The 24,229-nt window shown below is 43.2% G+C and overlaps 1 protein-coding gene across 13 annotated transcripts in view, besides 5 other annotated features; it reads right to left on the reverse strand.

Moving 5' to 3' along the window:
* Positions 1–24,229, reverse strand: part of CHKA (choline kinase alpha) — a 68,530-nt gene that overhangs the window by 43,515 nt on the left and 786 nt on the right. For 11 of the 13 annotated variants that reach the window (NR_164782.1, XR_007062448.1, NM_212469.2 and 8 more), the window contains exon 2: positions 646–757. Coding sequence is in view for 11 of the 13 variants with exons in the window: in NM_212469.2 (NP_997634.1) it covers positions 646–757 (112 nt within the window). In the remaining 2 variants the exon portion in view is untranslated. The remainder of the gene's footprint in view (positions 1–645; positions 758–24,229) is intronic. The other 2 variants (NM_001376222.1, NM_001376221.1) reach the window with 1 other exon arrangement.
* Positions 7,148–7,348: a silencer, noted in NCBI's record as "fragment chr11:67870988-67871188 (GRCh37/hg19 assembly coordinates)". NCBI's record gives its function as "represses an EF-1alpha promoter that drives an FKBP-Casp9 reporter gene in an ReSE screen in K562 erythroleukemia cells {active_cell/tissue: K562}" and the evidence as "EXISTENCE:reporter gene assay evidence [ECO:0000049][PMID:32094911]".
* Positions 22,523–22,712: an enhancer, noted in NCBI's record as "active region_5130". NCBI's record gives its function as "activates an Ori minimal core promoter by ATAC-STARR-seq in GM12878 lymphoblastoid cells {active_cell/tissue: GM12878}" and the evidence as "EXISTENCE:reporter gene assay evidence [ECO:0000049][PMID:35858748]".
* Positions 22,798–23,314: an enhancer, noted in NCBI's record as "H3K4me1 hESC enhancer chr11:67886638-67887154 (GRCh37/hg19 assembly coordinates)". NCBI's record gives its function as "activates a minimal SCP1, AML or CMV promoter by ChIP-STARR-seq in naive H9 embryonic stem cells {active_cell/tissue: H9 hESC(naive)}" and the evidence as "EXISTENCE:reporter gene assay evidence [ECO:0000049][PMID:30033119]".
* Positions 23,740–23,869: an enhancer, noted in NCBI's record as "active region_5131". NCBI's record gives its function as "activates an Ori minimal core promoter by ATAC-STARR-seq in GM12878 lymphoblastoid cells {active_cell/tissue: GM12878}" and the evidence as "EXISTENCE:reporter gene assay evidence [ECO:0000049][PMID:35858748]".
* Positions 24,010–24,139: an enhancer, noted in NCBI's record as "active region_5132". NCBI's record gives its function as "activates an Ori minimal core promoter by ATAC-STARR-seq in GM12878 lymphoblastoid cells {active_cell/tissue: GM12878}" and the evidence as "EXISTENCE:reporter gene assay evidence [ECO:0000049][PMID:35858748]".

Consider the following 24,229-nt stretch of genomic DNA (forward strand, 5'->3'; position numbering starts at 1 on the left):
ATCAACCTAATATTTCTACCGTGCTCAATGAAATAGTAAATTCATGACATTAATAATAATAATAATAAACCCAGACAAGTTGGGATATCCTATAACTGGATAATTCAATAGGTACTTTAAGAATTAGATTATCTAATATAAAACTTTAGAAAGATTATGACTGTAACAAACAACTCAAAGTTTTAAAGAAATCTCAGAGAAACAGTTATTAAATTCAGCTTCGTTGAGATCATACTTTGTTAACTGGGACTATCCTCTAAAATCTTTTGGATAATGTTATAAAAACAATACCTTCTCCACATTAGAACTTTATAATCTAAATCTGAGCTGAAAATTTTAATCAATATGTAGAACCAAGAATCATCAAGCACTATTGAAGATTTAACCAACATTGTACCTTCTCTGGATGTAAAACTGGGAATACTTGCACTAGTTTACTAATAAATAATAACTAAAAAAAACACGAATTAACTTAGAATGCAAACCAAGCTGTGCAGCCCAATTAAAGTAAAAGTAAAAGCAATATACTCAAATATCTTTAGTAACACCATTAAAGTATTTAAAATCTCTTTCCAAGGTATCTCAGCAAAGAGGATTTAAAATGTTAACAGGATCCCCCCCTCCCAAAGTAGCCTACCAACTCACCATCTGCAAAATCGCTCCATACAGCCGCAGGAGCACTTTCCGAGGCTCATCACCAAGGGTGGCTGTGGTGTCAGGTAGGGAGCACTGGAACAGCATGTTGCTAAGGCCGCCTCTGTCAGAAATAAGAGGACAGTAAGTATCTTTATTGCAGGTGAGCTAAATCACTCTTCTTGGATAAATATGGATGAAAAGTCAGGGTTACACAAGAACTGTTCTCATCTTATCTCGATTTATTCTCTCAATTTAACTCCATGAGTCACATTAAAAACAGACAAATTCCCTTTCTGTTTTTCTGCAGTAGAGGTGGGGAAGCGTTTTTGAAATTGCCCGTGTGGGCCGGGCACGGTGGCTCACGCCTGTAATCCCAGCACTTTGGGAGGCCGAGGCGGGTGGATCACAAGGTCAAGGAATCTAGACCATCCTGGCTAACACGGTGAAACCCCGTCTCTACTAAAAAAATACAAAAAATTAGCCAGGCGTGGTGGCAGGTGCCTGTAGTCCCAGCAACTCAGGAGGCTGAGGCAGGAGAATGGCATGAACCCGGGAGGCGAAGCTTGCAGTGAGCCGAGATGGCACCACTGCACTCCAGCCTGGGCGACAGAGCAAGACTCCGTCTCAAAAAAAAAAAAAAAAAAATCTTGAGGCAATATTTAAACCTTCTTCTCTAGGGCTTTCCATTTGATATGTATTAATAGTTCCAAGATCTTCTACGCTAGTGTTACTAAAAATCTGTCAACTGATTTTGACTAGGAGCTTGTTCAAAAAACTCCCAACATTAACTGGTTACCACGGCCTTCAGATGAAACAGGAGACCTCAATACTCTAATCACACACCAAGTAAGTAGCTAAGCAAGGAATCAAACCCAGGCATATGGCTCGAGTCCCTGCTTGTAACTAACCATGAAGAGTTGTCAAAGAGATAGGAGGCAAAGCTGGAGAGCACCATGTGCCACATTAAAGACATTACAGGAGGTCGGGCGCAGTGGCTCATGCCTGTAATCCCAGCACTTTGGGAGGCCAAGGCAGGTGGATCACCTGAGGTCAAGAGTTTGACACCAGCCTGGCCAACATGGTGAAAGCCTGTCTCTACTAAAAATATAAATTAGCCGGGTGTGGTGGCACACACCTTGTAATACCAGCTACTTGAGAGGCTGAGGCAGAAGAATCGCTTGAACCCAGGAGGCAGAGGTTGCAGTGAGCCGTTATCGCGCCACTGTACTCCAGCCTGGGCGACAGAGTGAGACTCCTATCTCAAAAAAAAAAAAAAAAAAAAAGAAAAAGAAAAGATAAAAGAAAAATGTCATAGGAGCTGCGTGAGCTGCAAAATCACCTTCCATCAGGACTACTCTCTATAAACCTCTATGACACAAACATCTCCATGTCCTATTACTGCTATAACAAATTACTACAAATTTAGTGGCTTAAAACTGAAAACAGATTCTGATCGAGCTCATTAATTTTTAAAAATAAGGGTAACTAGGTGGAAATGGGGAGTTGGTTTAAGTTTAATGGGTACAGAGTTTCAGTTTGGGAAGACGACAACATTCTGGAGACGGATGGTGGTGATGGCAGCACAACAATGAATGTACTTAATGCCACTAAACTATATATTTTTAAATTGTTAAAATTGTATTTTTAATGCTGCTTATTTTACCACAATTTTACTTGATTTTATTTATTTATTTATTTTTTTCAGAGAGGGTTTTGCTCTGTCATCCAGGCTAGAGTACAGTGGCACAATCTCGGCTCACTGCAACCTCCACCACCCAGGTTCAAGCGATTCTCCTGCCTCAGCCCCCCAAGTAGCTGGGATTACAGGTGTATGCCAGCATGCTTAGCTAATTTTTGTATTTTTGGTAGAAACGGAGTTTTGCCAGGCTGCTCTGGAACTCCTGACCTCAGGTGATCCACCCATCTCGGCCTCCCAAAGTGCTAGAATTACAGGCACACCATGCCTGACCTTATTTTACCACAGTTTTAATAAAAAAGTATGAAGTACTGATATATACTACAACATGAAACTTAAAAACATTATGCTAAGTGAAAGAAGACAGTCACAAAAGACCACATGTTATATGATTCCATTCATATGAACTGTCCAGAACAAGGAAATCTATAAAGTCCATTAGTGGTTGCCAGGAGCTGGGGTGGGAAGGGGTACTTAGGGGTAGGGGATGATAGCTAAAAGTTTCTTTTTGAAAGATGAAAATGTTCTAAAACTGACTGTGGTAACAGCTGCAAGTATCTGTGATTACACTAAAAGCCACTGGACTGTACAATTTAAATGGGTGAATTGTATGGTTTGTGAACTATATCTCATTTTCTTACCAAATAAAAAATTTGAATGTGCTTCTAGCACAAACAATTTTTTCCCAGATTTAAGTAAGACATATTTAAGAGGTTTTTTCAAAGGTTACTTAAAATGAAAAACCATCATGAGTCTCTAGGAACAAGACAGCAAGAGTCAGGATCTATTTTCCCAGAAGGTTGTCTACCTTAGTTAAAAAGAACAAAAATAAAAGGGAACCCAAAGTTCTTGTTTTCCCAAAGCAAGCTGTGAAGCAGGCCGACAGCGTGTAGATCAAAGGAACCAAAAGCAGCCTTAACCTTTCTGTTAAACTTGGCGTGGCGCCTCAACTGTGTGGCTTATCAGAATCCCCCTGCCGCGTCTGGTCACAGCCAACATGGGTTTCTGGCTACCAAGCAACAGAACGGGCATTAAAACAGAGTTAAAAGCCCTAGTTTTTCTTCCGGTCACATACTCTGGAAATCTCAGTCAAATGCAAAGGCAAACAGATGAAGTACTGTTCTAAATTGTGTAACCTGATTCAAAGTTTACCCCCGTACTGCTAAAGAAGGAAGGCAGACTAGCTTGGCCAGAAACAAGCTCACAACCTGGAAACCCTTCAACTGCTTTTTATTACCTGTAGCCTCTATTGTTCAATAGGTTTTAGTGAATAAATTGTCAATTATTTTTTAGTGACAGTCAAAATAAATGAAGCAAGGTGACTGGCACCAATAACCCAAACTGTGAGAAATTTACCTAGAAAAAAAGCCAACTACCAATGAGTCAAATAATAATATGACCAGGAACAATAAAATGTGGTAGGAAGAAATGCCAGAAATGGTAGCAAAAATGTAACAGTTCAATTTATCATATAATTTGTCAAAAATATCCTCCCAAGTAAAACCCCAGGAGCTCTCAAGGATTTGCAAGAAGTTTTGAAACCACAAACTTTATCACCTGGCATAATAGCTTTATAAGTCATAATTAGATATGAGAGGCATGGGCTGGATGTGGCGGCTCACGCCTGTAATCCTAGCACTTTGGGAGGCTGAGGCGGGCAGATCACTTGAGGTCAGGAGTTCAAGACCAGCCTGGCCAACATGGTGAAACCCTGTCTCTACTAAAAATACAAAAATTAGCCGGGCATGGTGGCACGTGCCTGTAATCCCAGCTACTCAGGAGGCTGAGGCAGGAGAACTACTTGAACCCGAGAGGCAGAGATTGCAGTGAGCCGAGATTGTGCCATTGCACTCCAGCCTGGGGGACAAGAACGAAACATCATCTCCAATAAATAAATACATAAATAAATAAATAAATAAATAAATAAATACAAGAGCGAAACATCATCTCCAATAAATAAATAAATAAATTTAAATATATATATGCACACACACACACATATATATGAGAGGCACAAGATACTCAAGCAAAATCTCAAATACAGTGACAATAACACACTTATTCCACACTCAACACAATGACAGGAAGGAAACAGAAAAAAGCAGGAAGTACCTGCTGGCAGGAATTCTCACCCCTGCCCTCCAGACCCAGTGGTGCACGCATCACTAACTGTCAACCCATGATTCCTTAAAACAGAATACTAAGGGAATAACAAGCAGTATAAAGAGGTTCTTTTTTTTTTTTTTTTTTTTTTTTTTTTGAGACGGAGTCTCACTCTGTCACCCAGGCTGGAGTGCAACAGCGCGATCTCGGCTCACTGCAAGCTCCACCTCCCAGGTTCACACCATTCTCCTGCCTCAGCCTCCCAAGTAGCTGGGACTACAGGCGCCCACCACCACACCGGGCTAATTTTTTTGTATTTTTAGTAGAGACGGGGTTTCACCGTGTTAGCCAGGATGGTCTCGATCTCCTGACCTCATGATCTACCTGTCTCAGCCCCCCAAAGTGCTGGGATTACAGGCGTGAGCCACCACGCTGGTCCAAAGAGGTTATTTTACATAAATTGTTGAGCAAAAATGAAATGAATCATTTCAGCTTCTCTTGATAGCCAGAAAAACAAGGCAAGAGAAAGAAATAAAAGGCATCCAAATTGGAAATGAAGTTAAATTATCCCTGTTTGCAGACAACATGATCTTACATATAGAAAACCCTAAAGACCCCACCAAAAAACTATGAGAACTAATAAGTTCAGTAAGATTGCAGGATACAAAATCAACATACAAAAATCAGTAGCAGTATTATTTCTAAACGGGAGGCTCAGGTGGGAAGATCACTTGAGCCCAGGAGGTCAAGGCTGGAGTGAGCTGTGATCACGCCACTGCATGCCAGCTAATAGCAAATTATCTGGAATGGAAATCAAGAAAACAATCCTGTTTACAATAGCTAACAAAAAAAAAAAGAAAAGAAAAAGAAAGAAATTTAACCAAGGAGGTGAAAGAGCTCTGCAATGAAAACTTTAAAATATTGATCAGAGAAACTGAAGACACAAATAAATGGAACAATATCCCATGTTCATGTATTAGAAGAATTAATATTGTTAAAATGTCCATACTGGCCAAGCGCGTGGCTGACGCCTGTAATCCCAACACTTTGGGAGGCTGAGGTGGGCTGATCACCTGAGGCCAGGAGTTCAAGACCAGCCTCGCCAACATGATAAAATCCTGCCTCTACTAAAAATACAAAAATTAGCTGGGCATGGTGGTGGGCGCCTGTAATCCCAGCTACTCGGGAGGCTGAGGCAGGAGAATCTCTTGAACTCAGGAGGCGGAGGTGGCAGTGAGCCAAGATCACGCCACTGCACTCCAGCCTGGGTGACAGAGCAAGACTCTGTCTCAAAAAAAAAAAAAGAAAAAAAAAAGTCCATACTACCCAAAGCAATCTATACATTCAATGCAATCCCTATCAAAATACCAATGACATTCTTCATAGAAATAGGAAAACCAATCCTAAAATTTATATGAAATCACAAAAGACCCCAGTAGCCAAAGCAATCTGGAGCAAAAAGAACAAAGCTAGAGGAATCACACTACCTAACTTCAACATATACTACAAAGTCATAGTAACCAAAACAGCATGGTGTTGGCATAAAAACAGACAGAGACCAATATAACAGAATAAAAGCCCACAAATTAATCCACACTTACAGCTACCTGATTTTCAACAAGTGTCAAGAACACAATAGGGAAAAAGACAGTCTCTTCAATAAACAGTGTTGGGAAAACTGGATATCGCACGCACAAGAATGAAATTAGATCCTTATCTCACACCATATACAAAAATAAACTCCAAAATGGATCGAAAACTTAAAGTAAGACCTGAAACTATGAAACTGCCATAAGAAAACATAGGGAAAAAGCTTCATGACCTTGGTCTGAGCCAGGAATTTTTTTTAAAAGACCTCAAAAGCACAGGCAACACAAACAAAAATAAACAAATAGGATTATAGCAGACTAAAAAGCTTCTGCACAGCAAAGGAAACAAGAGTGAAGAAACAACCTACAGAATGGAAGAATCTATTTGCAAACTATACATCAGTTAAGGGGATAATATAGAAAATATACAAGGAACTCACAGCAAAGAAAGGAAAGGAAACCAATTAAAAAATGGACACCAGCTACTCAAGAGGCTGAGGCAAGAGGATCACTAGAGCCCAGGAAGTCAAGGCTGCACTGTACTTTAGCCTGGGTGACAGAGCAAGACCCTGTTTAAAAAAAAAAAAATATATTTGCCCTAAATGGTGGCGTGTGCCTATATTCCCAGCTTGGGAGGCTGACATAGGAGGATTGTTTGAGCCTAAGAGTTTGAGGCTGAAGTAAGCTATGAATGCACCACTGTACTCCAGCCTGGATGACAGAGCAAGATTCCATCCCTCAATAACAAAAACAAGGCAAAAGACCCAACAGACATTTATCAAAAGATGACAAATAAATGGCCAGAAAGCCACATGTGGTAGGTAGCACGTGCCTGCAGTCCCAACTACTCGGGAGGTTGAGATGGGAGGATCACTTGAGCCTGGGAGGTTGAGGCTGCAAATGAGCTGTGATTGTGCTACTGCACTCCAGCCTGGGTGACGGAGCAAGACCCTGTCTCAGTAAATTTAAAAAAAATAAAATAAATGGCCAACAGGTATATGAAAAAATGCTGACCACCACTAGTCATTATTAGACTGTCTATTTTCAATGATAAAAGATAACAAACGTTGACAAGGATGTGGAGAAAAGGGAACCCTTACACACTGTTGATGGCAATGTAAGTTAGTACAGATATGAAAAACAGTATGCAGGGTCCTCAGAAAATTAAAAATAGAATTACCATTAAGATCCAGCTCCTGCTCATCAAAGCAAGTTTAAAAAAAAAAAATCCAGGCTTGGTGCAGTGGCTCATGCGTGTAATCCCCGCACTTTGGAAGGCTGAGGCGGGCAGATCACCTGAGGTCGGGAATTCGAGATCAGCCTGGCCAACATGGTGAAACTCTGTCTCTATTAAAAAAACAAAAAAATTAGCCACGCATGGTGGTGTACATCTGTAATCCCAGCTATTTGTGAGGAGGAAGCACGAGAATCACTTGAACCCGGGAGGCAGTGTTGCAGTGAGCCGAGATCACACCACTGCACTCCAGCCTGGGAGACAGAGCAAGGCTCAGTCTCAAAAAAATAAAAAATAAATAAATTAATTAAATAAAATAAAAAATTAAAAATCCAGCAATCCCATTACTGGTAATACATCCAGAGGAAATGAAATCAGTACATCAGACATCTACACTCTCATGTATATTGCAGCACTAGTCACAAAAGCCATCAATTGATTATAGAATAAATGTAAGTGTCCATCAACAGATGAATAAAGAAAATGTGGTATATATACACAGTAGAATCCTATTAAGCCTTATAAAAGCAGGAAATTCTGTCATTTGTGACAATATGGATGAACCTGGAGGACAGTACTTATATTAAGCAAAGTAAGTCAGGCACAGAAAGACAGTAACAATGTGATCTCACTTGTGTAGAATCTAAAAAAGTTGATCTCATAGAAGTTGAGAATAGTGCTTACCAGAGGCGAGGGGAGGGGAGACAGGGAGAGGTTGGCCAACTGGTACAATATTATAGTCAGATGGAAGGAATAAATTCACCTTATACCTCATAAATAGGACAATTATTATTATTATTATTTTTTGAGACTGAGTTTTGCTCTATCATCCAGGCTGGAGTGCAATGGTGCAATCTCGGCTCACCGCAACCTCCGCCTCTCAGGTTTAAGCGGTTCTCATGCATTAGTCTCCTGAGTAGCTAGGATTCAGGCTCCCACTACCATGCCCAGCTAATAATTTTTGTATTTTTAGTACAGATAGGGTTGCACCATGTTGGTCAGCTGGTCTCGAACTCCTGACCTCAAGTGATCCAACCGCCTCGGCCTCCCAAATTGCTGGGATAACAGGCGTGAGCCACCGCACCCGACCAATATGTACAATTATTACATGTCAATTATAAACATTATGAATAATGCTCCATTGCCTCAGCACTTACATCAAATACACAGGTTATAAAATTATAAAATTCTGGCCGGGCACAGTGGCTCACGCCTGGAATCCCAGCACTTTGGGAGGCAAAGACGGGCAGATCATCTGAGGTCAGGAGTTCAAGACCAGCCTGATCAACATGGTGAAACCCTGTCTCTACTAAAAATACAAAATTAGCCAGGCGTGGTGGCACATGTCTGTAATCTCAGCTACTCAGGAGGCTGAGGCAGGAGAATCGCTTGAACCCGGGAGATGGAGGCTGCAGTGAGTTGAGATCGTACCATTGCACTCCAGCCTCGGCAACAGAGTGAAACTCCATCTCAAAAAAAAAAAGAGATTATTTAATGCCTGTTACATTCTATAGCACTATAAAACAAGAAAAACCCATGCTACATGCTACAGTGATACAACAACTTAGTAGGCTGCCCAAGGTCTTGAAATATGTCATCTCTAGGCCGGACATGGTGGCTCACGCCTGTAATCCCAGCACTTTGGGAGGCTGAGGCGGGTGGATCATGAGGTCAGGAATTCAAGACCAGCCTGGCAAACACGGTGAAACCCCATCTCTACTAAAAATACAAAAATTAGCTGGGCATGGTGGCAGACACCTATAGTCCCAACTACTCAGGAGGCTGAGGCAAGAGAATCGCTTAAACACGGGAGGAGGAGGTTGCAGTGAGCCGAAATCGGGCCACTGTACTCCAGCCTGGGCAGCAGAGTGAGACTCCATCTCAAAAAAAAAAAAAAAAAAAAAAAAAAGAAAAGAAAAAGAAAGAAATATGCCATCTCTAATGTCAAACATCTACCTATTTTTAATTATTTGGGTTTTTTCCCCTGTCATTTTTAGCAACGGGGATATTTTGGGATTCATGTATGTGAATCCGCTGAATGAATGCTTAGGCAGATGACAAACCTGAGGAACTGTCTGCTCCAACCTGTAACACAAAGATTTCCACCTGATAAATTAAGATAAGAAGTTACCTAACCAACTATATTTTGCTGAAAAGCAAAAAAGCCACTGAAAGCTCCGCAAACTGTCTACAAGTCACAGGGTACCCAGTCTAGCACATACAGGGCTTAGTCCCCAAGGCTGAGGGCCTGGACCTAGGAGAAAATAGAGCAGGCAGTTCCATGACTATCATCTAAAAGTCAAAATGACTAGAAAGAAAAAAAAATCACGACATAACCAGTGTCTCAACAGAGAAATGATCTTTAAGCCATAGGGCTGGCTACATGGAAAAGAGAATACAGCGTAATATCAAAACAGCTACTGAATTTAGAGCACAAGGAAAATAAGAAAAAAAAGCAGATTTTTGAAAAATTTCTTCTAACCATCTAAAATTCAAATTGCAGCTATGGCTCAGGTGAAAAAAACAGTGCTGCAGTAAAACATCAGCACCTCTACGGAGTAATCAGGACGGTATTAACCCCCACCTCTCTGAAAACAAGAAAAGCCAGGAGGTACCATTAAAAGAACAGGCTAGGCCAAGCACAGTGGCTAACACCTATAATCAATCTCAACACTTCAGGAGGTCAAGGTGAAAGGATTGCTTCAGCCCAAGAGCTGGAGACCAGCCTAGGCAACATAACAAGACTCGATCTCTACAATTTTTTTTTTTAATTGGCCAGGCATGGTGGCATTGAGCCTGTGGTCCCAGGTACTTGGGAAGTTGAGGTGGGATGACTGCTTGAGCCTGGAAGGTTGGGGCTGCAGTGAGCCGTGATCACGTCACTGCACTCCAGCCTGGGCAACACAAAAACCCTGCCTCCAAAAAAAAAAAAAGACCAGTCCAGCCCAGGTGGAGTGCTGGCTCTGCACAAAATAGCTGTGCAGACCTTGGGCAGGCCTCCAAGTCTGTTTTCACACCATAAAACAATGTAGCAGTATCTAACAGAAGTTTCTGCGAAAATTACATGAGATCATATGAGCTGTTCACTTATCAGCACCAATTGCAAAGCAAAGGTTAATGTTTAAGAGGATGCCAGAAGGAAGAAAGGATAAAGCTCAGTCTTAAGAATTCTACTCCAGCACGGCTCAGCCTTGACGCTTTGTATCTGGGGCCAGGTCATTCTTTGCTGAGGGGCAAAGCTGCCCTGTGTACTGCAGGAATGTTTAGCAGCAACACTGCCCTCTATTCACTAGATGCCAGCTGTACTACCACCAACATGGTAACAATAAAAAACATGTTCGGCCGGGCATGGTGGATCATACCTGTAATCCCAGCACTTTGGGAGGCCGAGGTGGGTGGATCACGAGATCAGGAGTTCAAGACCAGCCTGGCCAATATGGTGAAACCCCGTCTCTACTAAAAATACAAAAATTAGCCGGGCGCAGTGGCAGGCACCTGTAATCCCAGCTACTTGGGAGGCTTAGGCAGGAGAATCGCTTGAACCTGAGCAGCAGTGATTTCAATGAGTCAAGATTGAGCCACTGCACTCCAACCTGGGTGACAGAGTGAGACTCTGTCTCAAAAAAAAAAATGTTCAAACATTACCAAATGGCGAGATGCGGGTACAAAATCACCCCACTATTCCTCTACTTTTTTTATCATTCTTTCTGCAGTTTTTACCTATTTTTCCTTCCCCAAAATTTGAAAACCAATTTGTTCTCTAACTTGATTCCCAACTTATAATCTTTTCCTTCCTCTATTCAAAATAATTTCTTCCTCCTGATTTGCCTATTTCAGTTAACAGTAGTGCCTTTTTCCCACTCACCCAGGCTCAAAATCTTCCTCGTTTCCAATGGCCTGGTCCTCTCCCTATCTCCCAAATTCTCTCCTCCTTTCCATTCTCAATGCTCCTGCCCAAATGTATATCCTCCCCCAACCCCCACTACAGCAGCCTCCTCTCTGGTCTCCCAGCTTCTTGATCCCTCTCTCCTCTATGCTATCCCCTAGGCCACCTTAGAAAGTGTTTCTAAAATACAAATTTCAAGCCGCCACTGTCCTTAGCACAGTCCTTGGAACACAGCATGCCTCTGCCTACCCTTCCCACCTAGGAGGTCCTTCCACCAGGCATGGTCAGAAGTACTCCCTCCCACTTTCTCATAAAGTGCTTGCATCCCTTCTAGCCCACGCTGACTCCCAGTCAATACTCGACAAAAAGAGTACTAGGCACATTAAGATGTGTAAATACATTACGAAAGACACGGAAATTACGATCTCATTGTGGAAAACTAAAGATAAGGGTTGTGCCCCACCACGCAGCAGAACGAGGAGATTCCCTGCCACTGACAGAGAATGGAGAGATCCTGGAAGGACGCTAGACAGGCTGACGGGGCTCCACTGGAGGGGAAAACAGGAAGGAGAACGTGGGCATCACTGAAAGCAATATATGACAGATAACAGAAGAAGTGCTTTTATTATTATTATTATCTAAATTCTACTCCTAGCTGGGTGCAGTGGCACACACCTGTAGTCCCAGCTAATGAGGAGGGTGAGGTGGGATGATCGCTTGAGCCCAGGAATTCCAGGCTGCAGTTGAGCTATGATCCCACAAATGCACTCCAGACTGGGCAACAAGAGCAAGACCCTGTCTCAAAAAGAAAGAAAGAAAAGAAATACCACTCAACCTTCTGGTTTCCAGTCCAGTATGTGTAAGAAGCTTAGAAGTCGCCACCTGATCCTAACAACATGTAAAAAGCTAAATCAACTGAAAAATCAACTCTTAAAGAAATAAGGTGGCTGGGCGCAGAGGCTCACGCCTGTAATCCCAGCACTTTGGGAGGCCAAGGCGGGAGGATCACGAGGTCAGGAGATCGAGACCATCCTGGCTAACACGGTGAAACTCCGTCTCTACTAAAAATACAAAAAATTAGCCTGGCGTGGTGGCGGGCGCCTGTAGTCCCAGCCACTTGGGAGGCTGAGGCAAGAGAATGGCGTGAACCTGGGAGGCGGAGCTTGCAGTGAGCCAAGATCATGCCACTGCACTCCAGCCTGGGTGACCGCAAGGCTCTGTCTCAAAAAAAAAGAAATGAGGTTAAGGGGGAAACTGCTGCCTCCCAAATTGGACAGACAGACCGGCAGATACAGAGAATCACAGTTTACTGGAGCAAAATCCTCCACCAAATCAGCACTAGGGTAGGAAAACCTTAACTATAACTAACAAATTGCCGGAGGCTCAGTGTGGACAACTGTGAGAGTTTAAAACTCCAGGAGACCCAATTACTGGGGAGCCCCATTCTTTGACGAGTTTTACCTCCAGGAGCTCTACGAGTTCCTTACAGTGAAAACTGAGGGGGGGAAAAAATCCCTTCATGCTTCCAGCAGAGGGAGGGGCAAAGAAACCTTTCCTTTTTTCTTTTCCTTTTTTTTTTTTTTTTTTTTTGAGACAGAGTCTCGCTCTGTCCCCCAGGCAGGAGTGCAGTGGCGCGATCTCGGCTCACAGCAAGCTCCACCTCCCGGGTTCACACCATTCTCCTGCCTCAGCCTCCCGAGTAGCTGGGACTACAGGCGCCCGCCACCACACTGGGCTAATTTTTTGTATTTTTAGTAGAGACGGAGTTTCACCGTGTTAGCCAGGATGGTCTCGATCTCCTGACCTCGTGATCCTCCCGCCTCAGGCTCCCAAAGTGCTGGGATTACAGGCGTGAGCCACCGAGCCCGGCCTCTTATATTTTTAAATACGACAGAACATTCTGTTCTTAACAAGGTCTGCCCTCAGGAGAAATTATTTTGCCAGTGTCTAACCTGTTGGGATTTTCTCAGAGCCTAAACTTCCTGAGAGAGGGCAAATACACAATTCCAGCCCCCTCTGGCCATTCTGTCCCACCTAAGCGGGGAGGAGAACTAAGAAAAATGGGTAAAGTTCACAGTCTAGGTGCACAGGCTCACCAAAAGACTGAGACCTCACCATAGGACTATAGGTTAAACATTCAAAAATCAACAATAGGCTGGATGTGGTGGCTCGTGCCTGTAGTCCAGCACCTGGGGAGGCCAAGGCAGGTGGACCACTTGAGGTCAGGAGTTCAAGACCAGCCTGGCCAACATGGTGAAACCCTGTCTGTACTGAAAATACAAAAATTAGCTGAATGTGATGGTGCACACCTGTAATCCCAGCTACTCGGGTGACTGAGGCATGAGAATTGCTTGAATCCAGGGAGTAGAGGTTGCAGTGAGCCGAGGTCACGCCACTGCACTCCAGTGTGGGTGACAGAGCGAGACTCTGTCTCAAAATAAAAAATAAAAAATAAAATCAATTAATATAATCTATCACATCAACAGGCTAAAGAAGAAAAATCACATGATCATATCAATAGATGGAGAAAAACTATCTGACAAAATCCAACACCCACTCATGGTAAATAATAAACTCTCAGAAAATGAGGAATAGAGAGGAACTTCCTCAACTTGATAAAGAACATCTATAAAAAACCTACAGCTAACATTATACTTGATGAGAAAGTCACAGCTTTTCTACGAAGAACAGGAACAAGGTAACAATGTTCCCCCTCACCACTTTTTTCCAACATCATAGGAAGTCCTAACTAATAAGAAAAGGAAATTAAAAGTATACAGATTAGGAAGAGAGAAATAAAACTTTGTAGATGATATGATTATCTATGTAGAAAATCAGAAAGAAGTGAAAAAAAATTTCTGGAATAAGAGATTATATAGCAGGACTGCAAGATACAAGGTTAATACATAAAAGTCAACCAGTTTCCTACATACCAGTGACAAATAAGTGGAATTTGAAATTAAAAGCACATTACCATTTATATGAGCACCCCCAAAAATGAAATACTTATATATAAATCTAACAAAATGTGTATTTTGTTATGTCACTCAATGTGTATTGAGTCATGGGTAGGAAGACTCAATATTATCAAGATGTCGGTTCTTCCCAACTTGATCTGTAGATTTAATGCAATCCCAATGAAAACCCCAGCAAGTTATTTTGTGAATACCAACGAACTGATTCTAAAATTTACAGGGAAGCCAGGCACAGTGGCTCATGCTTGTAATCCCAGCAATTTGGGAGGCCAAGGTGGGCAGATCACTTATGGTCAGGAGTTCCGAGACCAGCCTGGCAAACATGGTGAAACCCTGTCTCTACTAAAAATACAAAATTAGCTGGGCGTGGTGGCATGCACCTATAATCCCAGCTACTCGGGAGGCTGAGGCAGGAGAATCGCTTGAATCCAGGAGGCGGAGGTTGCAGTGAGCTGGGATCACGCCACTGCACTCCAGCCTGGGCAACAGAATGAGACTCCATCTCAAAAAAAAAAAAAATGATAATAATAATAAAGTTTATCAGGAGAGGCAAAAAACCTAGAATAGCCAATGAAGAATAAAGTCAGAGGACCGACAATACTCAACCTCAAGAATCATTATGAAGCTACATTAATTAGGCCAGGCGCGGTGGCTCATGCCTCTAATCCCAGCACTTTGGGAGGCCGAGCTGGGCAGATTACCTGAGGTCAGGAGTTCGAGACCAGCCTGGCCAACATGGTGAAACCCTGTCTCTACTAAAAATACAAAAATTAGCTGGGCGTGGTGGTGGGCGCCTGTAACCCCAGCTACTGGGGAAGTTGAGGCAGGAAAATTGCTTGAACCTGGGAGGCAGAGGTTGCAGTGAGCCGAGATCGTGCCATTGCACTCCAGCCTGGGCAACAAAAGCCAAACTCCATCTCAAGAAAAAAAAAAAAAATGAGCCAGGTATGGTGGTACACACCTGTAATCCCAGCTACTCAGGAGGCTGAGGCATGAGAATCACTTGAACCCGGGAGACAGAGGTTGCAGTGAGCCAAGATCATGCCATTGTACTCCAGCCAAGACACTATCTCAAAAAATAAAAATAAAAAAGCTACATTAATTAAAACAGTGTGGTATTGGCAAAAGAAAGGACAAATGGATCAATGGAACAGACTAGAGAGTACAGAAATACACTCACATAGTCAACAGATCTTTCACAAAGGAGCAAAGGCAATACAATGTAACAAATGTCTTTTACAACAAACCATTTGTTGTTTCAACAAATGGTCCTGGAACATGCCCGGAGCGGTAGCTCACACCTGTAATCCCAGCACTTTGGGAGGCTGAGGCGGGTGGATCACTTGAGGTCAGGAGTTTGAGACCAGCCTGACCAACATGAAGAAACCCCGTCTCTACTAAAAATACAAAATTAGCCAGGCGTGGTGACGCATGCCTGTAATCCCAGCTACTCAGGAGGCTGAGGCAGGAGAATCGCTTGAACCTGGGAGGTGGAGGTTGCGGTGAGCCGAGATCACGCCATTGCATTCCAGCCTGGGCAACAACAGCAAAACTCCGTCTCAAAAAAAAAAAAAAAAAAAAAAAAAGTCCTGGAACAACGGGACGTCCACATGCAAAAAAAAATCTAGACAGACGTTACACTTCCCAAAAATTAAATCAAAATGGATCATAAAGCTAAATATAAAATGCAAAACTAGATAATTTCTTGATGGTAACATAGAAGAAAATCTAGATGACCTTAGGTATGGTGATTGCTTTTATTTATTTATTTACTTTTTTTGAGACGGAGTCTCACTCTTGTCGCAACAGTCTGGAGTGCAGTGCCGCAATCCAGGCTCACTGCAACCTCCGCCTCCCGGGTTCAAGCGATTCTTCCTGCCTTAGCCTCCTGAGTAGCTGGCATTACAGGTGCCCACGACTACACCAGACTAATTTTTTTGTATTTCTAGAAGAGACAGAGTTTCACCATGTTGGCCAGGCTGGTCTCAAACTCCTGACCTCAGGTGATCCACCCATCTTGTCCTCCCCAAGTGCTGGAATTACAGGCATAAGCCACTGCGCCCAGCCAGATTACTTTTAGATACAGCATCAAAAGCATGATCCATGAAAGAAATAATTGATAGGCCAGACTTCATTAAAATTAAAAACTGCTTTGCAAAAGATACTGTCAAGAGAATGAAAAGTCACAAACAAGGAAAAAATATTTGCAAAAGACACATTTGATAAAGGACTGTTAACAAAAATATATAAAGAACTCTTAAAACTCAAGAATAGGAAAACACTTTCCCACTCAAGAAGGTGTGGCAGGTGCCTGGCACGGTGGTTCATGCCTGTAATCCCAGCACTTCGGGAGGCCGAGGCAGGAGGATCACGAGGTCAGGAGATCAAGACCATCCTGGCTAACACAGTGAAACCCCATCTCTACTAAAAATACAAAAAATTAGCCGGGCGTGGTGGCAGCCGCCTGTAGTCCCAGCTACTCGGGAGGCTGAGGCAGGAAAATGGCGTGAAACCGGGAGACGGAGCTTGCAGTGAGCCAAGATCGCACCACTGCACTCTAGCCTGGGCAACAGAGCAAGACTCCGTCTCAAAAAAAAAAAAAAAAAAAAAAAAAAAAAGAAGCTGTGGCAGGAAAAAAAAAAACAATTAAATTAAAATTTTAAAATGGGCAAGAAGCTCTGTGGCATGCCCCTATAGTCCCAGATACTTGGGAGACTGAGGCAGGAGGACCACATCTGTGAATACCCACTACACTCAAGCCTGAGCAATGTAGCAAGACCCAGTTTCTTAAAAAAATAAAAAGGAAAAAGAAAAAGACACAAACTGACATCTCATCAAAGAAGATATACAGATAGCAAATAAGCATCTGAAAAGATTTTCATCATATGTCATTAGAAAGTTGCAAATTAAAATAAGATACCTGACTGGGCGCGGTGGTTCACGCCTGTAATCCCAGCACTTTGGGAGGCCGAGGTGGGCAGATCACGTGGGTCAGGAGTTCCAGACCAGCCTGTCCAACACAGTGAAACCCACCTCTACTAAAAATACAAAAAATTAGCCGGGCATGGTGGCAGGCGCCTGTAATCCCAGCTACTCAGGAGGCTGAGGCAGAGAACTGCTTGAACCCGGGAGGCGGAGGTTGCAGTGAGCCAAGATCACACCACTGCGCTCCAGCCTGGGCAAAAGAGCAAGACTCTGTCTCAAAACAAAAACAAAAAACAGCCAGGCGCGATGGCTCATGCCTGTAATCCCAGCACTTTGGGAGGCCGAGGCAGGTGGATCACCTGAGGTTAGGAGTTCAAGACCAGCCTGGCCAACATGGTGAAACCCCATCTCTAAATACCAAAAATTAGCTAGGCGTAGTGGCAGGTGCCTGTAATCTCAAGAACTCAGGAGGCAGAGACAGGAGAATCGCTTGAACCCAGGAAGCGGAGGTTGCAGCAAGCCGAGATCGCGCCATTGCACTCCAGCCTGGGCAACAAGAGTGAAACTCTGTCTCAAAAAAAAAAGGAAAGAAAAAGAAAATGAGAGACCATTATACGCCTACCAGAATGACCAAACACCAGAATGCTGACACCACCAAATGCTAGTAAGGACATAGAATAACAGGAAATCTCATTCACTGCTGGTAGGAATGCAAAATGTTACAGCTACTCTGGAAGACAGTTTGGCAGTTCCTTACAAAACTAAACGTAACTCTCACCATATGACCAGCAATCATGCTCCTAAGTATTTACCCAAATGAATTGAAAACCTACACACAAATGTTTAGAGCAACTTTATTCATAATTGCCAAAACCGTGAAGTAACCCAGATGTCCTTCAGTAGATGAATGGATAAATAAACTGTGGTATATCCAGATGACAGAATACTACTGAGTATTAAAAAGAAGTGAGTTATCAAGCCATGAAAAGACACAGGGAGGCTGGGCACAGGGGCTCACCCCTGTAATTCCAACACCTTGGGAGGCCAAGGCAGGCAGATGACAAGGTCAGGAGTTCGAGACCAGCCTGGTCAATATGGTGAAACCCTGTCTCTACTAAAAATACAAAAAATTAGCCAGGCGGGGTGGCACATGCCTGTAATTCCAGCTACTTGGGAGGCTGAGGAAGGAGAATTGCCTGAACCCGGAAGGCGGAGGTTGCAGTGAGCCAAGATCGCACCATTGCACTCCAGCCTCGGCGACAGAGCGAGACTCTGTCTCGGGAAAAAAAAAAAAAAGAAGAAGAAAAGACAAGACAAGACCCAGGGAAACTCAGTGCATATTATCAAGTGAAAAAAGCCAAACTGAAAAGACTTACATACTGTGTGATTCCAATTCTATGACATTCTGGAAAAGGAAAACCTATGGAGACTGTAAAAAGACCAGTGATTGGCTGGGCTTAGGAGGGAAAGAGGGATAAACAGACATTAAGTAGAGGATTTCTAGGGCAGTGAAACTATTCTGTATGACACTACAGATGGTCTCCAACTTATGATGGTTCAACTTATGATTTTTCGACTATACAATGGTACAAAGGTGATATGTATTCGGAAGAAACCATACTTCAAGTAAACATACAACCATTTTATTTTTCATTTTCAGTAATCAATAAATTACATGAAATATTTAACACTTTATTATAAAAACAGACTTTCTGTTAGATTACTTTGCCCAACTGTAAGCTAATGTGTAAGTGTTCTGGCAAATTAAAGGTAGGCTAGGCTAAGATATGCTGTTCAGTAGATTCAATGTATTAAATGCATTTCAATTTATGATGGTTTATCAGGGCATAACCCTGTTGAAGTAAGCTCATCATGTAAAGCAGCATCAATACAATGGTGGATACATGTCATTATACGGTGGCCAAAAACCACAGAATGTACAACAGCAAGAATAGGATGTAGTGTGTTATGGACTCTGAGTGATAATATGTCAATGTAGGTTCCTCAGTTGTAACAAATGTCCCATTCTGGTGGGGGAAGTTGAGAAAGGGGAAGGCAGTGCCTGTGTGCAGGCAGGGGGTTATATGGGAACTCTCTGTACTATCTGCTCAATTTTGCTGTGAACCTAAAACTGCTCTAAAACTGGGCACAGTGGCACACACTTGTAATCCCAGCTACTAAGGTGGCTGAGGCAGGAGGGACCACTTGAGCCCAGGAGTTCAAGACCAGCCTGGGTAACACAGTGAAATCCCCCATTTCTAAACAAACAAATACAAGTTGCTCTAAAAAATATAGTGTATTAGTTTAAAAAGGAAGAAAGAAAAAGAAAGCCAGCAAGCCAGCCACCCAAGGAACAAAACTTTCCAGTAAAAACAAAGTGTAAATAAAATTGTATCTTGAAAAATGAAATTGAAAATTGTTTCTGTTCTTATATGTAACATAATTTAGGTTATAATACAACTACATATTTATGTTTAATTTGAAAAGCAAACGTTTAAAATGAAAAGTAGGGAGTTTGGGCACAATTTTTCCAAAAAAATTATGATGGCACCATAAGACACAATTAACTTCCTATGTGAGTTTTACTGCATTAATTTTACAGTATCTGAGGACTTGGCCAGTCTTTTCATGGGACTCTCTCCATCTTTTGATATGATTCTATTTTGCAGGGCCCAAGGTAGCATCCTCCTCAATGGTTTTCTTTTCACTGTTAGTGGGTCTGTGGAACGTAATGTCAAAAGATGTGTGTGAAACTTAGTCTCCAACATTTCATTCATTGAACTTCATGAAATCTTGTATCCTTCACAAGATTTTAAACTTCATTTCACAACTGCTGTGACCTTATCAATCAGCAATGAAAATAACAAACTCTAAGCTGGGTGTGGTGGTTTACGCCTGTAATCCCTGCTCTTTGGGCGGAGGCAGGCGGATCACCTGAGCCCAGGAGTTCTATACCAGCCTGGGCACCATGGTAAAACCCCGTGGCTACCAAAAAATACAAAAATTAGCCAGGTAGCCAGGCGTGGTGGCTCATGCCTGTAATCCCAGCACTATGGGAGGCCAAAGCAGGCGGATCATGAGGTCAGGAGTTCAAGACCAGCCTGGCCAACATGTGAAACCTTGTATCTACTAAAGATACCAAAAAAAAAAAATTTAGCTGGACATGGCATGTGACTGTAATCCCAGCTACTCGGGAGGCCGAGGCAGGAGAATCGCTTGAACCTGGGAGGCAGAGGTTGCAGTGAGCCGAGATCGCGCCATTGTGCTCCCGCCTGGGCAACAGAGCAAGACTGTCTTAAAAAAAAAAAAAGAAAGAAAGAAAGAAAATGCTAATAACATACTATTGATTTGATAGGCAGGGACAGAAGTTAGTATTAAGTTGTGATGTCTGGAAATGAACAAATTTTCTAAGTGGTCAGCTCATTAACAACAACTCTCATGTTAGGACAATTTTTATTTTTCCCTATACCACTCATAGTTGAAGAGACTCAGACAAGGATCTCCGTTCATCACACAGCAAAGAGGCCAACTTAAGCTAAAAATGACAATTTCTACACTTATCCAGTTCCGGTGTGCCAGGCACTATCCTAGTGCTGGAGATACAAAGATGAACGTGAAATGCCCTCTAGGAATTCAATCTAACAAGAGAATGGAATGAATAAACACACACACAAACGTGTTAAGGGTTGTGATAACAAGGCCTGCATGTACAAAGTGCTAAGGATGAGACACAGAGGGGAAAGAAATTCAGTATGTCTGGTTCTCTCTGAGTTAAGCCTTGAAAGAGGAATTTTAAAGGAAACACACCAAGGGAAAGGCTGCCAAGCAGAGGGTAGGGGCAAAGAAAGGCCTGGAAACTGAAAACACAAAGCTCATTCAGAAAATGCAGGCTCCAGTGTAACTAGCTCAATGTTAGTTGCTGTGGTTCTGGAGAAGGAGTGATTTTAAAACAGTAATAACAAAAAGAACCAGTCTAAAAAGTTAGGCCGGGCAGGGTGCAGTGGCTAACGCCTGTAATCCCAGCACTTTGGGAGGCCAAGGAGGGTGGAACACCTGAGGTCAGGAGTTCGAGACCAGCCTGGTCAATATGGTGAAACCCTATCTCTACCAAAAATACAAAAATTAGCCGGATGTGGTGGTGCATCTGTAGTCCCAGCTACTCGGGAGGCTGAGGCACAAGAATCGCTCGAACCCAGGAGGCAGAAGTTGCAGCTAGCCGAGATCACACCAGCCTGGGTGACAGAGCAAGACTCCATCTCAAAAAATAAATTTAAAAATAAAAAATAAAAAGGTAGGCCAAGGCTCAAGTTTAGACCATGCAAACAAGTTTGGATTTTATTTTCCAATATTTGAGAAATCCATAGCAACAAGATACAGAATGGATTAGAAGGAACACACAAAATGCAAGAAGATCCTAAGGCACCTCCTGTTCTAGTGTCTAAGCAAGGACAGCAAAGGGACCAGACAGAAGGTGGGGATACAAAAGTAGCTCATCAGGTTTGAGTTACAACTGTGTGCAGAGGAGGGATTTCTGGGGGAATGCAGAGTTAGAAATGATCCTGGGGCTCTGGCCAGGCTGCTGCTACAAACGCAGAGCGAAAGCAGAAGCACATTCCTGGGTGGGGAGGAGCCAAAGGGTTAAATTTGGAATAGGAATGCACTGAGTTGAGGTGGTGAAGTCTCATCAACTACTGCAGATGCACTGGCACTCAGTGAAACACGGAGCTCCAGAAACGGATCGGGGCCAGGTATGGTGGCTCAGGTCTAAAATCCTGGCACTTTGGGAGGCTGAAGCGGAAGGACTGCTTGAGCTCAGGAGTTCAAGACCAGCCTGGGCAACATGGCGAAACCCCATCTCTACAAAAATACAAAAATTAGCCAGTAATGGTGGTGCGTGCCTGTAGTCCCAGCTACTTGAGAGGCTGAGGTGGGAGGATCACCAGAGCCTGGGAAGTCGAGGCTACAGTGAGCTGTGATCACACCACTGCACTCCAGCCTGCGCGACAGAGTGAAACCCTGTCTCCAAAAAAAAACCAAAAACCAGAATCAGATTGGGAAATGTCAGTAAAATTTGATAGCTGGAGCCATAATAACTGCAACTGCCTATGGAGAATCACTGAATTTCAACCAGACGAATTCCTCTCCTTCTCCGCACCTCCAAATGCCCTTGTGTCTTTTTTAAAAGCTAGACATCACCCACTTTCCCATGTCCTAAATCACCTTTTTTTCTCCTTATTAAACTTATTCCATAACTACGTTCTCTTTCAGAACACAGGACTGAGAGAGTGTACTCTTGCAACATTATGTAAAAAGGTCATCCAATCCAAAAGGAAAGCTGTGTTTTCCAAGACTGCTAACTCCTGGAGAAAAGAAACAAGACATCCTCAATGCTTTCCTAATAACTGGTTTGAGCAAAATGCAAAAGTTTAACTGCTGAGTGACTCTCCCTGGAGAAAGCCATGAAAATATCTTAAGGCTGGATCTAGGGTGTCCAAACATTTTCACAGGCCGCAGGCTAGAGCACTGGTGCAGGAGAAGGGGACACCAGAGACCTGGCAGTTCAGGCTTTGAAGGCAGTAAACAGCCACTGACCTCAGGCAAGTCACTTCTCCTTTAGGTTTTCCATTTCACAGACTGATGAGTACATGGCCTAAAATGATCGCCCTTCTAGTTGAGAATTTTCAGGCCTAACTAAAAGTAGATTAAAGTAAACCTTGGAGAGAGCTGAATTTTTTTTAAGTGCCATTAAGCAATTCAGGGATTATCTAAACAGCCTCGGTTTTCTTTTCTCTGCTTCCTTACCAACTGCCTATTAACTCTCACTCTTAGCTCATAAGCAGTCAGAGGGGCTGAAGCACAAAGAGGAAGTGAAGCTCAAAGAGTTAATTTTGCTGCATTAGCGGCTCTGGTGAAAGACAGTGGGCACAGAAAAGGAATCAAATGACCAAAACTGGACTTGGGGATTACTGGTGGCAGCCAGCCAGCAAATTTCTAGATACTGCACACAACCTGTCAGCCAATTAAAAGAAAATTGGCAGAAAATGACGGAACACGTTCTTTGTTTTTGTTTTTTTGAGACAGTCTCTCTCTGTCAAAGGCTGGAGTGCAGTGGCGTGATCTCGGCTCACTGCAACCGCCGCCTCCCAGGTTCAAGCGATTCTCCTGCCTCAGCCTCCCAAGTAGCTGGGACTACAGGTGTGCGCCACCATGCCCAGCTAATTTTTGTATTTTTAGTAGATATGGGGTTTCACCATGTTGGCCAGGCTGGTCTCGATCTCCCGACCTCGTGACCCGCCCACCTTGGCCTCCCAAAGTGCTGGGATTACAGGCGTGAGCCACTGCGCCCGGCCCGGGAACACATCTTTAAAGGTCTCAATAGAAGGATGCACACACTACGTTGAATGGTTATGTCTTCGGAGCAGAGTGGTGAAAGAAGGTCAGACTTCTGTTAAGTCTGAATACCTACACGCGTACTTCTGTAATTCAAATTTAAGATTAAATATTTTCAAGTTTAAAAAAAGGAAAAAATGGCCGAGCGCGGTGGCTCATGCCTGTAATCCCAACATTTTGGGAGGTCGAAGCGGGTGGATCACCTGAGGTCGGGAGTTCAAGATCAGCCTAACGAACATGGAGAAACCTTGTCTCTACTAAAAATACAAAATTAGCCGGGCGTGGTGGCGTGTGTCTGTAATCCCAGCTACTCGGGAGGCTGAGGCAAGGAGAATCGCTTGAACACGGGAGGCCGTGGTTGCAGTGAGCCGAGGTCGCGCCACTGCACTCCAGCCTGGGGACCAAGAGCGAAACTCCGTCTCAAAAAAAAAAAAAAAAGGAAAAAACATTTCTACCTTACTCTTATTTTAGGAGCCACGCCTCCCACCTTTGTCTAGTAACACAGCTATAGTGATGTCTCTTAGGGGATGAGAAAATGCTACTCCTCCACTAACAATGACTCTTGGAGAGGGAACAAGACATCAAATCGCGAACTCGAAAAACTAACAGAAAAAAGTTAAAAAGTGGTTTGTGTTTTTAAAGCCAGCCACAACACCTTCATTCAAGGCCCTAAACCGCAGAGACTTTCTAGACCTATCTTAAGCGTCAGTACCACACGCACTTCGTGATGGAACGGTATTGTTCTCCTAGAACAGACCCGTTTTCTCATGAAACCGACGTTTTTACAAAAGCCTG

The sequence above is a fragment of the Homo sapiens genome, chromosome 11, assembly GCF_000001405.40.
Source record: "Homo sapiens chromosome 11, GRCh38.p14 Primary Assembly".
NCBI classification, from domain to species: Eukaryota; Metazoa; Chordata; class Mammalia; order Primates; family Hominidae; genus Homo; species Homo sapiens.